Source organism: Homo sapiens, chromosome 16 (assembly GCF_000001405.40).
Source record: "Homo sapiens chromosome 16, GRCh38.p14 Primary Assembly".
NCBI classification, from domain to species: Eukaryota; Metazoa; Chordata; class Mammalia; order Primates; family Hominidae; genus Homo; species Homo sapiens.
The window spans coordinates 15,972,594-15,990,070 of record NC_000016.10 but is presented as its reverse complement, the minus strand read 5'-3'; the positions used below and the strand labels follow the sequence as shown (position 1 = coordinate 15,990,070).

Genomic DNA, 17,477 nt, shown 5'->3' with positions numbered 1-17,477 from the left:
AAACAAAACAAAAAAAAATTGCTGAATGGTGCCAGGCACAGTGGCTCACACCTGTAATCCCACCTACTTGGGAGGCTGAGGTGGTAAGATCGCTTGAGCCCAGGAGTGGGAAGCTGCAGTGAGACGTGATTATGCTAATGAACTCCAGCCTGGGTGACAGAGTGAGACCAAGTCTCAAAGAAAAAGAAATAAAAATAAAACCAGAGCCCTGTCTAAGCACGGACTGCATACCAGGCACTGCGTTCAGGTTTCATGTACATCGCTCCATTTTATCACCCTAGCAGTCTATGAGGAAGGTACTGTAATGATTCCCACTTTTACAGAGAGGAACACAGAGACAAACAGGTGAGAAGATGGCCCGCGAGTCACAGGGGCAGGACCGTCCTGGATTCAAACCCTAGCAACTCTTCTGCACAACCAACCAAGGAACAGACGGGGCTTGGAGGGACGAAAGGCAAGACGACAGGGTGCTCCTAAATGCCACACTCAGAAACAACGCTGCAGAGGGGTAGCTCAGAAGCCAAGGGAAGCTGAGAAAAGGAGTGCAAGAGGCCCGTGGTTAGGTCAGGGCACCCGCTGGGCTTCTGAACATTAATCCTGTTTAGAGAGACAGCATGTGGCCTTCATTTCCCCACCGCACTCCTGAAAACATCTGGAGAAAGGCTAAAGTCTCCCAGCCCCGACACAGCAGGAGGCAAGCACGGCTGGCAGGGCCATGAGGTGAGAGGAAGGCGGCTGAAGCCAGCATCGCGTGGGCAGTGACGCGCCCTGGCATGCTGTTGGCTGGGCTGCACCCCACCCTGCCCCCTAACTCAGCAGAGCTAAGAATAAAGCCCAGTAACATCACAGGGGCAATTTCCAGACTTATCCCCATCACCCAGGAAGGCAGGGGCACGGCCATCCTTGCTCTATCCAGGCGGGTACCACAAATCCTCACGTCCAAGACACAGAACTGAACACAGTTACATGCAAAACTAATTTTTTTTTTTTTTTTTTTTTTTTGAGACAGAGTCTTGCTCTGTCTCCTCGGCTGGAGTGTAATGTCATGATTATAGCTCATTACAGCTTTGAACTCCCAGGCTCAAGTGATCCTCCCACCTCAGCCTCTCAAGTAGCTGGGACTAGAGGTGCACACCACCAAGCCTGGTTAATTTTTGTATTTCTTTCCAGAGATGGGGCCTTGCTATGTTGCCCTGTCTGGCCTCAAACTCCTGGGGCTCAAATGATCCTCCCACCCAGGGCTCCCAAAGTGCTGGATGAGCCACTGTGCCCAGTCCTAAGAATCCTGTCTTAACAGGGCTTCAGTGTTGTTAAGCACTAAAAAGAAAGCAGAGGTCAGGCTGCCCATCAGTGCCCAAATGTCAGCAGCAAGCATCTTGTTCCAACCTGCTTTCACCCCAACTCTCCCAAGCACCATGAGGCCTCTCGTGGAAGGCCCGTCCTATGAAGCTGACACTCACCCTCGTTTTCTCCATCCAACCCTGGCTATCTTTGCAAGGTTGCTCCCCAGCCACTTCCTCTCCTCTTATCAGACTCTCATGTTTCACCAAATAAATCCCTTAGTCATGTTCCAGGGTCTTGTGAGGGGTCAGGCATGTGCTGGGCATAGGGATATGTCTGGGGACACTGCAGTAACAGGACAGACAGCATTCATCCATTTACAGAGCACGGTTCCTAGGGCTGAGGGCCCAGCAGTGAACAATAGGGACCAAGGGCCGGCCCTCCTGGAGCTGACAGCCTAAAGAGAAGAGACAGATGGTTTAGAAAGGAGAGGATATGAAGACATGTGTGATGAAAAGCACTCAGAGAAGAGGGCAAGCCTTGCTGAGGACGGGTATTTAAATACAGGATTGAGCCAGGCACAGTGGCTCACACCTATAATCCCAGCACTTTGGGAGGCCAAGACAAGTGGGTCACTTGAGGCCAGGAGTTCAAGACCAGCCTGGCCAACATAGCGTGGTAGTGCATGCCTGTAATCCCAGCTACTCAGGAGGCTGAGGCACGAGAATCCCTTGAACCTGGGTGGTGGAGGTTGCAGTGATCTGCGATCACACCACTGCACTCCAGCCTGGGTGACAGAGCGAGACTCCATCTCAATTAAAAATAAATAAACAAATACAGGATGGAAGGAAACAGAGGAGTAAACCAAATGGCCATCTGGAGGAAGGGCACACCAAGCAGAGAAAACAGCCAGTGCAAAGGTCCTGAAGTCAGACCAGGCCTGGCATTTCTGAGAAACCGCAGAGAGGCCAACAGGTCTGAAGAATAACAAGCAGTGAAGACAGCGAGGAAGGAAGAAGGCAGGGAGGAGACAGTCAGTGCGGGACGCACAGGCCACCGCAGGGATTCTGACTTTCACGCAGGGTGACCTGAGGAGCATGGAGTTGATGTGCCGTGATCTATGTTTCAACACCATGGTTCTCAAGTGGGGGCAAGTTTGTCACTCAGGGGACATGTGACAACATTTGGAAACATCCTGGGTTTTCACAACTTAGGAAGAGGGTAGTGCTATTGGCACTCTGTGGACAGAGGCCAGGGATACTGCTTAATGGCCACAATACATAGGACAGCCCCCACGACGGGAAATATCTGGCCCCAAATGTCAACAGTGCCAAAGCTAAGCAGCCCTGTTTGAACAGAATCCCTCCCTGACCAAGCTTCTAGTCCACATCCCCAACACACCCCTCGTCAGGCAGATGGGGCTTCAGCTCCTCACCCTGTAATACTAGGCCAGCAACTAAACCTCAGTTTCCGCATCTGTAAAATGGGAATACTAACATTATGCAAATAAGCACTTTGTTAAACATGAGCCAGAGCACACAGTAGGTGCTCAATAAATACCACTACTAGTAAAACTTCCAGATCCACTTCTTGCTATAATATCCCTCCACATTCTCTCTTTTTCTGACACAGGGTCTCGTTTTGTTGCCCAGACTGGACTGCAGTGCCATGATCTCAGCTCACTGAAACCTCCACCTTCTGGGCTCAAGTGATCCTCCCGCCTCAGCCTCCTGAGTAGCTGGGACTACAGACACACACTATCACACCCAGGTAATTTTTCTATTTTTAGGAGAGATGGGGTTTCGCCACATTGTCCAGGCTGGTCTCAAACTCCTGAGCTCAAGTGATCCACCTGCCTCAGCCTTAGGATTACAGGCGTGAGCCACTGCACCCGGCCTCCTTCCACATTCTCTAGCCTAACCAAATGATTGATTGTGTCATTCAACAAAGATGTACTGAGCCCCTACTATGTGCCTGGAACTAAGCTGAACAGGTGCAGTACACAGAATAGCCCGTAAAGATGCCTACATCCCCGTCCCCAGAACCTGAGTCTCTTACCTTTCATGGCAAAAGGGACTCTGCAGGTATCATTAAGGACTTTGGAATGGGGAGAATGTCCCAGATCAGAGGTCCCCACGCTTTTTGGCACCAGGGATGGATTTCATGGAAGACAGTTTTGCCAGGGATGGCGGGGGGTGGCTTTCAGGATGAAACTGTTCCCCCTCAGATCATCAGGCATTAGATTCTCATAAGGAGCACACAGCCTAGGTCCCTCGCATGCACGGTTCACGTTAGGGTTCACGCTCCTGTGAGAATCCAATGCAGCCACTGATCTGACAGGAGGTGGAATTCAGGTGGTAATGCTGGCTTGCCCGCCACTCAGCTCCTGTTGCATGACTCAGTTCCTAACAGGCCACAGACTGCTCGCTACTGGTTCATGGCCCAGGAGTTGGGGACCCCTGTCCTAGATGATCCAGGTGGGCCCAATGTAATCACAGGGAATTATAAGGGACAAGAGGACGGTGGGAATATCTGAGTCAGAAAAGGAGATTTGAGGCAGGGCGTGGTGGCTCATGCCTATAATCCCACCACTTTGGGAGGCTGAGGCAGGTAGATCACCCGGGGTCAGGAGTTCAAGACCAGCCTGTCCAACATGGTGAAACCCCGTCTCTACTAAAAATACAAAAATTAGCCAGGCATGGTGACATGCACCTGTAATCCCAGCTACTCAGGAAGCTGAGGCAGGAGAATCACTTGAACCTGGGAGGCAGAGACTACAGTGAGCTGAGATTCCGTCTCAAAAATAAAAAAAAAGTAAAGGAGATTTGACAACACAAGCAGGGGTGGAGGGACATGAAACCACGAATTGAGGAAGACAGGTGGCCTCTTGATGCTGGACAGGGCCAGGCCATGGATTCTCCCTGCAAGCTTCCGGAAAGAACACCAGCCGTACATTTTGGACCTCTGACTCCCGAGAACTAGAGTGATGTGTGTTGTTCTCAGTCACCAAGTTGATGGCAATACCAGCAATAAGAAACCAATAGAGACTGGGCACAGTGGCTCACACCTGTAATCCCAGCACTTTGGGAGCCCAAAGCAGGAGGATCACCTGAGGTCAGGAGTTCGAGACCAGCCCGACCAACATGAAGAAACCCCGTCTCTACTAAAAATATAAAAATTAGCTGGGCATGGTGGTGCACACCTGTAGTCCCAGCTACTCAGGAGGCTGGGGCAGGAGAATCACTTGAACCCAGGAGGCGGAAGATGCAGTGAGCCGAGATGGTGCCATTGCACTCCAGCCTGGGCAACAAAAGCAAAACTCAGTCTCAAAAGAAAAAAAAAAGAAAAAGAAACCAATAGAGCAGGCAACAAAAATAGAGCTGGTGGGGAAACAAGTGTATCAAGGCATGAACACATGTCACCTTGCTGAGTAATGCTTGTTCACATCTCAATACCCTTGCCATGTCCCTGCCTTGACATCAGACTGAGCCCAACAGCACCTCCAGTGAAGCCCCGGGTTCTGCCCTCCCAGGGCATTTCTAATGCCTTTCTGAAATACCCGCTACATCCACAGTGGAGCTGCTTAGGAAAATGCTTTAGAATGGCAGAAGCTGGGGATGATGGAATATAGGAATTTATTTTTTAAATTTCACCTTAATAGGAAATATATGACTCTGTTTTTGCTTTAAGACAGAGTCTCACTCTCTCACCCAGGCTGGAGTGCAGTGGCGTGATCATGGCTCACTGCGGCCTCTACCTACCAGGCTCAAGCAATCCTCCCACCTCAGCCTTCCAGGCAGCTGGGACCACAGGTGTATGCCACCACGCCCAGCCAATTTTTGTGATTTTTGTAGAGAAGGGGTTTCTCCATGTTGCCCAGGCTGGTCTCAAACTCCTGAGCTCAGGCAATCCTCCCACCTTCACCTGCCAAAGTGCTGGGATTACAGGTGTGACCCACACTGCACCTGGCCATGACTCAATTTTTAAAAAATATATATGTGTGTACGTATGCATGCGTGTGCATATGTTTATATAATACATATATAGGCCGGGCGCGGTGGCTCAAGCCTGTAATCTCAGCACTTTGGGAGGCCAAGGTGGGCAGATCACGAGGTCAGGGGTTCGAGACCAGCCCAGCCAACGTGGTGAAACCCAATCTCTACTAAAGATACCAAAAATTAGCTGAGCTTGGTGGCGCACACACCTGTAATCTCAGCTACTCAGAAGGCTGAGGCAGGAGAATCGCTTGAAACTGGGAAGCGGAGGATGCAGTGAGCCACGATCACGCCACTGCACTCCAGCCTGTTGACAGGGCGAGACTCTATCTCAAAAAAAAAAAAAGTATATATCAAGGTAAACAATAAAAAGTTACTCTGCCCAAATGCAATTGCCTCTTTTAGTTTCTCATTTATCCCTCTGGAATTTCTTACAAATACAGCAAATACAACTACGTAATTCTTACTTGTCTGCTTTTTTACACAGAGGTAACATACCAAATATACCAAGTGGATCTCCACGTTTTCACTTAAAAACTGGACCTTGGAGGCTGCCGCACATCTGTGCACAAAGGGCTTCCTCGTCTTATGTCCTTCTGCAAGCATCCCACCCTACCACGGAAGGGGTGGAACCCACTGTATTCACCCAGCCCCTACTGATTGCCACTTGGGAGGCTGCTCATCTTTTGCTATTCTAAACAATGACACAATGAGTTCCCTTAGAAACTGCTTATTAAGCTAAAGAAAACATGAAGAGCCTGACCCACACACCAATCCGGCTTTGCTTAATGGCTCATAAGCCTAGAGGAGGCAGAAAACAAGGGAAAAGGCCCAGGTTACTTTTGATGACCTCAAGACACACAGTGAGAAACAGAACAGTAGCAATAAATGCAGACCCAGGCATCTCTAAGGGAATTTAGTCTTTAAAATATCACTAAAGGCCAGGCGCGGTGGCTTGTACCTGTAATCCCAGTACTTTGGGAGGCTGAGGCAGGCGAATCACTTGAGGTCAGAAGTTAGAGAGGAGCCTGGCCAACATGATGAAACCCCGTCTCCAATAAAAATACCAAAATTAGCCAGGCATGGTAGTGGGCACCTGTAGTCCCAGCTACTCCGGAAGCTGAGGTAGGAGGATTGCTTGAACCTGGGAAGTCAAGGCTACAGTGAGCCGTGATCATGCCATTGCTCTCCAGCCTGGGAGACAGAGCAAGACTGTCTCAAAACCAAAAAAAAAAAAAAAAAGTGTGGTGTACCATTAGAAGACATGTGATTTGCTCAGTTCATTCCACACCTAATAAATCTTATCTGCATGACCTGGGTGAAAACCCCAGCCTCCAAATAGGTTTCCTGACTCCCCTCCCAACCGCAGACAGGGGATATCTTCAAAACACAGCCCCAGTCCCTTCACACTGCGCTGAAAACTATTCCAGGTTCTCAGAGCTCTCAGGATGGATCACAATCCCCACAACTGCAGCTTGTGGGTTCAGCCCCAACTCACTGTTCCAGGGACCCCTTCATGACTCAGGGCCTTTGCAGAGTGGGTTCCCTCTACCTGGAGTCTTTCTCCCCATCACTGCCCTGACATGCAATGCAGGGGCATCCTTCAGCTCACAGTTGAAACATTCCTTCTTGAGGGAGGCCCACCTATCTCCCCACCCCTTTCTCAAACACCCTGATCCCCCATTTAACAACTTCATGGTACTTTGTACTGTGCCTGCTAAGTACTTATCAGATTTTTTCATCAAATATTTCTCAGGCACTATTTTATACTGTATATGTTACCTTATACATTATATGACATTTGATATGAACATGCTATATAGTATCTAATACACCATGTACAGTTATCGCTAGGATGAACCATATGAATTGCCATTTGTATAGGTCATAAGTTGGCGAACCACAGCCTGTGGGCCAAATTCAGCCTGCTGCCTGCTTTTGTACAGCACACAGGCTAAGAATGGATTTCCTTTTTTTTTTTTTTTTTTTTTGACAGCGTCTCACTCTGTTGCCCAGACTGGAGTGCAGTGGTGTGGTCATAGCTGACTGCAGTCTCAACCTCCTGGACTTAAGCAATCCTCCCATCTCAGCCTCATGAGTAGCTGGGATACAGGCATGAGCCACCACACCTGGCTTTTTTTTTTTTTTTGGTAGAGACAGTGATATGGCTTGGCTGTGTCCCCACCCAAATCTCATTTTGAACTGCAGTTCCCATAATCCTCACATGTCATGGAAGAAACCCAGTGGGAGGTAACTGAATCATGGGGGTGGTTACCTCCATGCTGTTCTTGTGACAGTGAATTCTCACAAGATCTGATTTTGCTCAACACTTCTCAGCAAAAGAAGCACTTTTGCTCAGCACTTCTCCTTCCTGCCGCCATGTGAAGAAGGACGTGTTTGCTTCCCCTTCTACCATGATTACAAGCTTCCTGAGGCCTCCCCAGCCCTGCAGAACTGTGGGCCAACTAAATCTCTTCCCTTTATAAACTACCCAGTCTTGGGCAGTTCTTTATAGCAGCGTGAGAACAAACTAATACAGTAAATTGGTACTGGGAGTGGGGTGCTACTGTAAAGATACCCAAAAATGTGGAAGCAACTTTGGAACTGAGTATCAGGCAGAGGCTGGAACAGTTTGGAGGGCTCAGAAGAGTATAGCAAGATGTAAGAAAGTTTGGAACTTCCTAGGGACTTATTGAATGACTTGGACCAAAACGCTGATAGTGATATGGACAATGAAGTCCAGGCTGAGGTGGTCTCAGATGGAGATGAGGAACTTCTTGGGAAATGGAGCCAAGGTGACTCTTGCTATGCTTAAGCAAAAAGAGTGGCAGCATTTTGCCTTTGCCCTAAAGAGCTGTGGAACTTAGAACTTGAGAGAGATGATTTAGATGATTGTCAGAAGAAATTTCTAAGCAACAAAGTGTTTAAGAGGAAGCAGAGCATAAAAGTTTGAAACATTGGAAGGGTGATGATGTGACGGAAAAGAAAAACCCATTTTCTGGGGAAAAATTCAAGCCTGCTGCAGAAATTTGCATAAGTAAAACGGAACCAAATGTTAATCACCAAGACAATGGGGAAAATGTCTCCAGGGCATGTCAGAGACCTTTGCAGTAGCCCCTCCCATCACAGGCCTAGAGGTCTAGGAGGAAAAAATGATTCCATAGGCCGGGCCCAGGGCCCCCCTGCTGTGTGCTGCCTAGGGAGTTGGTACACTTTGTTCCAGTTGCTTCAACTGTGGCTAAAAGGGGCCAAAATGCTGCTCGGGCTGTGCCATCAGAGGGTGCAAGCCTCAAAAGCCTTAGGAGATTCCATGTGGTATTGAGCCTGTGGACAAAAGTCAAGAATCAAGGTTTGGGAACCTCCACCTAGATTTCAGAGGATGCATGGAAATGCCTGGGTGTCCAGGCAGAAGTTTGCTGCAGCAGTGGAGCCCTCATGGAGAACCTCTGCTAGGGCAGTGCAGAAGGCAAATGTGGGGCCAGAGGCCCCATACAGTCCCCATTGGGACACTGCCTAGTGGAGCTGTGAGAAGAGGGCCACCATCCTCCAGACTGCAGAATGGTAGATCCATGGACAGCTTGCACCGTGCACCTGGAAAAGCCGCAGACTCACAACACAAACCCGTGAAAGCCCCTTGATGGGGGCTGTACCCTGCAAAGCCACAGGGGCAGAGCTGCCCAAGGCCATAGCTAGAGCCCACCTCTCGCATAAGCATGACCTGGATGTGAGACATGGAGTCAAAGGAGATCATTTCAGAGCTTTAAGAAATGACTGCCCCACTGGATTTCAGACTTGCATGGGGCCTGCAGCCCCTTCATTTTGGCCAAATTTTCCCATTTGGAATGGGTGTATTTACCCAATGCTTGTACTCCTATTGTATCTAGGAAGTAACTAACTTGCTTTCAGTTTTACAGGCTAATAGGCAGAAGGGACTTGCCTTGTCTCAGATGAGACTTTGGAATTGGACTTTTGGGTTAATGCTGGAATGAGCTAAGACTCTGGGTGACACTTGGAAAGGCATGATTGTGTTTTGAAATGTGAGGACATGAGATTTGGGAGGGGCAGAACGATATCATTTGGCCATGGAATTATATGGTTCAGCTGTATCCCCACCCAAATCTTATCTTGAATTGTAGTTCTCATAATCCCCATGTGTTGTGGGAGGAACCCAGTGAGAGACAATTCAATCATGGGGGCAGTTACCTCCATGCTGTTCTCATTATAGTGAGTTCTCACAAGATCTGATGGTTTGATAAACGGCTTTTCCCCTTTTGCTCAGCACTTCTCCTTCCTGCCACCATGTGAAGGAGGACATGTTTGCTTCCCTTTCTGCTGTGAGTATAAGTTTCCTGAGGTCTCCCCAGCCCTGTGGAATTGTGAGTCAATTAAACCTCTTTCCCTTATAAACTACCTAGTGTTGGGCAGTTCTTTATAGCAGCGTGAGAACAGACTAATACAAACAGAGTCTCACTTTGTTGCTGAGGCTGGTCTCGAACTCCTGGGCTCAAGCAATCTTCCCACCTTGGCCTCTCAAAGTGCTGAGATTACAGGCAGAAGCCACCATGCCTGGCCAATTTTTAAATACATATTATAAGAAAGACTATTTGCCCCTGGGCCTGAGAGACCTAAAATATGTACTACCTAACCCTTCACAGAAAAAGCATGCCAACCCCTGCTCCAAGTCAAACATTGTTGAAGGTTGGCATCTTCCTATGTCTCCATCAGATGTTTATTTTATATGTTATTTTTTCGATGTCTCACTCTCCCCAGACTGTTTCTTTAGCGCAGTGAATGTACTGATGCTGTCCCTCAAAATGTCACTCCCCACTCACTGTGCAGAATTCCTGGGGTGTGGCAAGTAATCAGGAAGTACCTAGGGCATCTATGAATGGACCTCAGAACGAGTCTCAGCAAAATGTCAATTCAGTGTAACTAGCATTTGTGATCACAAGGCCAGGCACACACCACACCAGGTCTTAAATAAAAACAAGTAAGCAGGGTGATAAAAATATCTAATGTTGACTACAGTCACTTTGAATATTGAATATAGTCACTCTGGAAGGCCAAGATGGGAGGAAGGCCAAGAAGTTCAAGACCAGCCTGGGCAACATAGTGAGACCCCCATCTCTAAAAAATAAAATCTAAGAAGGGCCGAGGTGCTAAGATTTGCCTACCTGGAGACAGGAGACATGCACAATTCTGAATGTACTAAACTGAGTTGCACACTTTATAGGTGCATCATATGGTATGTGAATTATATCTCAACAAAAAAGCTGTTTATTAAAAAAGAGAGAGAGAGAGAGAATAAGCCCCAGGGTCATTTTGGCTATACGCAATTTTCACCTTACACGTGCTGCCTTTAGCACCTAACACCCTCCTCAAAAGAATTAATAAATACACTTAGACCTCACTTTATCATCTCAGGAAGAGCGTATCTCATCTAGACTACTTCACATTTGTGGAAAAAAAATTTTGTTTTTTTTTTGTTTGTTTGTTTGTTTGTTTGAGACAGAGTCTTGCTCTGTCTCCAGGCTGGAGTGCAGTAGTGCAATCTCAGCTCACTGCAACCTCCGCCTCCCAGGTTAAAGTGATTTTCCTGCCTCAGCCTCCCAAGTAGCTGGGACTACAGGCACACACCACCACACCCAACTAATTTTTGTATTTTTAGTAGAGATGGGGTTTCACCATGTTCACCAGGATGGTCTCGATGTCTTGACCTCATGATCCGCCCACCTGGGCCCCCCGAAGTGCTGGGACTACGGGTGTGAGCCACCACGCCTGGCCAAAAAAAATTTAAATGCATGTTTTCTCCTGTTGCTATTAATATGTTGCTTGTTGCCTTAATAAGCCCAGGGTTTCTCACCCTCAACACTACTGACGTTTTAGGCTGGATACGTCTGTCCCGTGTATCACAGGATGTTTATAGCATTCCTGATCCTAACCCAACAGACACCAACTGCACCCCCATCCCAAACTGTGACAACAAAAATGTCTCTAGACATCAATGAACGTCCTCTGAGAGGCAGATCACTCCCCATTGAGATCCACTGCCTTAATATTTTTTTCTATGTGGTCCCACTCCTGCCACCAGTATTTAGTGACTCTGAAGACCCAACCACCGGCCCACCCATTCATTTAAAAAAATTACTGAGCTTTGCTTGTATCAGGACTTGAACCAGAAACAACCACATTTATATCCTGCCCTCAGAAAGCTTAGAATCTTGAATATAAGATACGATTTGTCCATAAATGGCCATTACAAAAGATTTTAAAAGCACAGAGTACCACCAAAGAGATACACATAAAAGGCAAGAAATATCCAGAAAAGAGTTTCACAAAGCAAAAAGGAAAACTCACTTTCCTCATTCATACAGCAAGGACAATACCTGTTTTTTGTTTATTTGTTTGTTTGTTTGTTTGTTTGTTTGAGATGGGGTTTCACTCTGTTGCCCAGGCTGGAAAGCAGTCGTGTGCAATCACAGCTCACTGCAGCCTCAACCTCCTGAGCTCAGGAGATCCTCCCTCCTCACCTGCTCCAAACTAGTTAGAACCACAAGTGCATGCCACCAAACCTAGCTAAATTTTTTTTAAGAGATGTGGTCTGGCCATGTTCCCCAGGCTGGTCTCAAGCTCCTGGCCTCAAGCAATCCTCCCTGCTCGGCCTCCCAAAGTGCTGGGATTACAGGCATGAGCACCATGTGCAACCAATACCTGCTTTTCATCAGAGACATTGTGAAGACGAGACTTATATATTATTTCATTTTCACCCCATTTGAAATGGGTAGTATTTTTTCCATTTTGCTGAGGAAGAGACTAAGGCACAGAGAAGTAAAGCAACTTGCCCAAGGTTGTACAGCCTGTAAAAAGAAGAAAACTTCAACACAGGCAGGTTAGCTCACTGCTGCATGTAATGCCTCCTTAATATGGATAAAATCATTCATGTGACAACAGATGGATGCCCAGTGATCACTCTATTCCTGGAAGTTGTTATTTCCACTTGAGAGGTCAAAGCAGGCTTCTTGAAGTAAGTAAAATCTAAGAAGGGTTGGCTGGACACAGTGGCTCACACCTGTAATCCCAGCACTCTGGAAGGCCAAGATGGGAGGATCACTTGAGACCAGGAGTTCAGGACCAGCCTAGGCAACACAGACCTCCATCTCGAAGGGCCAAGGTGCTAAGATTTGCCAACATGGAGACAGGAGGGAACCTCACTCCAAGAGGGACACACATAGAAGATAGTCACAAGCTTAGGGGGTATAAGCTGGCCACAGAGGCTCATGCCTATAATCCCAGTATTTTGGGAGACCGAGGCAGGAGGATCACTTGGGTCCAGGAGTTCCAGAACAGACGGCAACACAGTGAGACCCCATCTCTGTTAAAAATAAAAATAAATAATAATAAATGGGACAAAGAGCCAGAAGAGGACCAGATGGCCAATACAGCTGGGAAGACAGGCCAGAGCCAGAATGAGTTAAGTGAAGGAAAATGAAACTTCACTTAGGATTCAAACCAGGAAAATGCTGCATCACCCAGACTTTGCAAAAGCTCCCAGAAGTTGTGAAACTCAGAGGGAAATTTTCTGGCTTACCCTTTTCTTGAATATAGCTAAGAACAGGAAACTGGAAAAACCACCGTCATCTTCAAACACTCCTTCGGAGACACCCCAGTCTCCACCACTCCCTCTCCCCCGACCCCAGAGCCTTCCATCTCAAGGAGTGTCCTGCCTCACCCATCTCCCTGCCCTATGACAAACTGAAATCCTCACTCCCCATCCTGGCCAGCCGGCATCACAACACAGATGGCCCAGGGGCAGGCAGGGTTGAAAGGAGTGACCATGACTTGGTGGTCAAGGGCACAGGCTCTGGGGCAGCAGATCTGGGCTCGAGTCCCTGTCCTACTACTTCCAGGCTGTGTGGCCTGGGGGAAGCCACCCAATCTCTCTGGCTTTCAGTTCCCGTGTGTCAAATTAAAAGAATAACACCCATCTCTCATGGCTATTGCACACAATGTTGGGAAGATAGAATACTCGTTAGGGGTTGAGTTTGCTGCAGTTACTTCTACCATAGTATTATCACTACTATGGCTATTGTCATCATCACTGTTGGAGTAAACAGCTCATAAAGCCACGTGCCAAAATGCTGAAGCCCCCTTAGTAGACTGACTAATCCTCCAGCCTCCAAGATTAGCCAAAGTCATCTGGCACAGCCTGTTGGAAAAGACTCCTCTCTGGCCCACCCCAGGGTGTTTATGGGGCAAGATGGAGCATGGGGTACCGGCCAGGCCCTGGAGACAGACTGCCTGGGTTTCAGTCTAGTCCTGTCATTTACTAGCTGGGTGACTTCACCTCTCTCTGCCTCCTTTCCCCACCCATAAGGTAGAAACAATCACAGTCCCTGCTTCACAGGGAACTTGTCACCATTAAGTCATTATTAGCACTTCAAAGGCATTAACAACAGTCCCTGGCACTTAGGAAGTGCCAAAGAAGCCTTAACGATCCGCCTTTTCTCTGTTGAGTTTTTTCTTTTTTGAGACAGAGTTTTGCTCTTGCTGCCCAGGCTGGAGTGCAGTAGTGCAATCTCGGCTCACTGCAATGTCTGCCTCCCAGGTTCAAGCAATTCTCCTGCCTCAGCCTCCCGAGTAGCTGGGATCACAGGCATGTGCCATCACCACGCCTGATTGATTTTATATTTTAGTAGAGACGGGATTTCACCATTTTGGCCAGGCTGGTCTCGAACTCCTGATCTCAGGTGATCCGCCCACCTCAGCCTCCCAAAGTGCTGGGATAACAGGCGTAAGCCACCGCGTCTGGCCTCTGTTGAGTTCTAAGTGTCTCTTTCTCTCCTACCTGTCATTTCCCCCCAAAGCAAGACCATGTCCATTTAATTCTCCTGATGCATATAGGACATGCTTATTAAACACTCATTCAACAAATAAAAGGTGGCCAGGTGTGGCGGCTCACGCCTGTAATCCCAGCACCTTGGGAGGCTGAGGCGGGCAGATCACCTGAGGTTGGGAGTTCCAGACCAGCTTTACCAACATGGAGAAACCCCGTCTGTAATAAAAATTCAAAATTAGCCAGAGATGGTGGCGCATGCCTGTAATCCCAGCTACTCAGGAAGCTGAGGAAGGAGAATCGTTTGAACCCAGGAGGCAGAGGTTGCTGTGAGCCGAGACCCCACCATTGCACTCCAGCCTGCGCAACAAGACCAAAACTCAGTCTCAAAACAAAAAAAAACAAAAAAAACAAAAAAAACCACCACAAAACATAAATAAAAGGTGATTAAATCTATCTGAAGAGCAATCCAGAAAGCAGGCAGAGAAAAGCCTAACCACGCATACCCCATTTTCACCCAACAATCCTACTTTAGGGACAGGAGTCTAAAGGAAATAACTCCAGCAAGAAAAGGAACAACGTGTACAAGCTGGGCCATTTCACAACAGCAAAAAACCAGGAGAACTCCCAAGCACCTAAGAGCCAAGCAAACTGGGGCAGATGATCCGATTAAAAAATGACCCTGCTGTCACAAAACGAACTGTGCAACCTCCTGCACCCCAGGAGAGGCCACCCCTAAAGGTAGCAGGTAGCACTAGCCATGGGGCTTACATTCTTGGGCGAGGATTTTTAAACCATGTGTAAAAGCAGAACGAGAAATACAGCAGGCAACATCTCTGACTGCCGAAGAGCTGTGCTTAAGAGTGAGGGGGAGGCTGGGCATGGTGGCTCACACCTGTCATCCCAGTACTTTGGGAAGCCAAGGCTGGGGGGGATCACTTGAGGTCAGGCATTCAAGACCAACCTGGCCAACATGGTGAAACCCTGTCTCTATTAAAAATACAAAAATTAGCTGGGCATGGTGGCAAACAACTTGTAATCCCAGTGACTTGGAGGCTGAGATGGGAGGATCACTTGAACCCAGGAGACGGAGGCTACAGTGAGCCGAGATCATGCCACCGCAGTCCAGCCTGGGCGACAGAGTGAGACTCTGTATCATAAAAAGAAAAACAGAAAGAAACTAGAAGCTATTATTATACTGCATTGATTCTAAGACTCTGTTTCTTCCTATTTTGCTATCTTTGATATTTGTCTGTGTCTCTCGATTAGCCCATCCTGTAAACACTGCTGGCTACATTTTTATATCCTAACATCTCTGAAACTGGGAAGTATGTCATAAATACTGGCCTCTAGGATTCCATGAAACGCAGCATGTCCATATCAACAGCCTGGTCTCTCTAACTGAATGATTAAGGGATGGTGAGAGGCTTTTTTCTAAGTTTCCAGAATTAAGAAGGAAAAGTTAAAAAATTCCCTTACTTCTTAGCCACGCCAACTCAAGGAGACAGGCAGTCACCACACCCCCCACTCCCCACTCCCACTCTGTAACCGCTCAATTAACTTTAATGGGGGTCTGAGCATCATTGTCAAGCTACCTGACCAGGCCAGCTCAGGCAAACCCACCAGCAGCCTGATCTCTGATAATCTCAAGCTGCCTTCTTGTCTCCACAAGGCCCATGCCCAGGCCAGGTTTGTTTTTGCCAAACCGAGGCAGACAGGAGAAAATAAATAATAAAATCTCCCACTTGCCAAAGCACAGCCCTTTCCAAAGCATGTGGTCACCAAGAGGCCCTGATTCCTGCCAGGTCCCAGGAATACTCTCTGCAAGGTACAGTGTTCTTTTAGAAGCACTCACATAGGATTTGCCTGGCAAGAGGGCTATCATTTCAACCACTTCAGCTTCAGGGTCAATAAGCTGTGTCCTCACCAGTCTCTATAAGGGACATATCTTGAATTCATATGCACATTCTTTTTTTTGAGACAGGGTCTCACTCTGTCACCCAAGCTGGAATACGGTGGTGCAATCGTGGCTCACCGCAGCCTCAACCTCCCAGGCCCAGGTGATCATCCCACCTCTGCCTCCTGAGTAGCTGTGACCATGGCCATGCACCATCATACCGGGCTAATTTTTTTTTTTTTTTAATTTTGTGTAGAGACTGGGTCTCGCTATGTTGCCCAGGCTGGTTTCAAACTCCTGGGCTCAAGCCATTCTCCAGCCTTGGCCTCCCAAAGTGCTGGGATTATAGGCATGAGTCACCACGCCCAGCTCACATGAACATTTTAAACTGCATCACACGATTGCTGGAGATCTGATAGTATCTTGAGAATGGACCTTGAAAACCAACAAGCAGGCTACACCATTGCTGATAGTCACCCAGGAGAAAACACAATCACGATGGACATATTGCAGCATTACCCTAACATGGCTTGTATATAACTCCTGGCAGCAGGTGGATTGCGTCCATGCCAGGGTTTCTCAACTGCAGTACTACTGACATTTGGGACCAGAGGATTTTTCATTATGGAGCCCATCCTGTATTGTAGGATATTTAGCACACCCCCTGGCCTCTACCCACTAGACTCTAGGCGTGCGCTCCCTGCCCCATCGTGACAGCCAAAAATGTTTCCAGACATTGCCAAATGTCCCCTGGAGACAAAATCATCCAGAGTTAAGAACCACTGATAATAGGCGATTTAAAGAATATCTTTTTTTCTTAGTAGTGCTATATTTACTTTAATAGCTATTAAAGTAAGCACATAAATATAACCAACCTGTGACTTCAAAGACATTCTAAAGTGATATGAAACTTCCTTTTGCGATAACTTTGTTAAGGCTTAAAAAGTGAATTGATTGAAAGAAAAACATTAGCTGAGTGTGATGGCTCATGCCTGTCATCCCAGCACTTTGGGAGGCTGAGGTGGGCAGACGACTTGAACTCACAAGTTCAAGAGCAGCCTGGGCAACATGGTGAGACCCCATCTCTACAAATATAAAAATTAGCCAGGTATGGTGGTGCATGTGGTAGTCCCAGCTACTCTGGAGGCTAAGGTGGGAGGATAGCTTCAGCCTAGGAGGTAGAGGTTGCAGCGAGCTGAGATTGTGCCACCACACTCTAGCCTCGGCAACAGAGCCAGCCAGACCTTGCCTCAAAAAAAAAAAAAAAAAAAAAAAAAGTTAAAAAATAAGTACATGTTGGACAATATTGGCTGGCTTACTCAAAAGTTTCTCCCTTGCTGTTTCCTCCTAGAGAAGCATAAAACCAAATGCTCATTTTTCCTGCCTCCCTTGCAGCTAGAGGTGGTCATGTAATCCAGTTTCAGCCAAGGAGACATGACCAGAAGTCTGCAATGTGGACAGAAGAGCCTTT

At 47.6% G+C, this 17,477-nt stretch overlaps 1 protein-coding gene across 25 annotated transcripts in view, besides 1 other annotated feature; it reads right to left on the bottom strand.

The window, feature by feature from the left end:
- Window positions 1–17,477, bottom strand: part of ABCC1 (ATP binding cassette subfamily C member 1 (ABCC1 blood group)) — a 193,911-nt gene that overhangs the window by 152,983 nt on the left and 23,451 nt on the right. The gene's annotated exons all lie outside the window — the stretch shown is intronic.
- Window positions 536–1,199: an enhancer, noted in NCBI's record as "NANOG-H3K27ac-H3K4me1 hESC enhancer chr16:16082729-16083392 (GRCh37/hg19 assembly coordinates)". NCBI's record gives its function as "activates a minimal SCP1, AML or CMV promoter by ChIP-STARR-seq in naive H9 embryonic stem cells {active_cell/tissue: H9 hESC(naive)}" and the evidence as "EXISTENCE:reporter gene assay evidence [ECO:0000049][PMID:30033119]".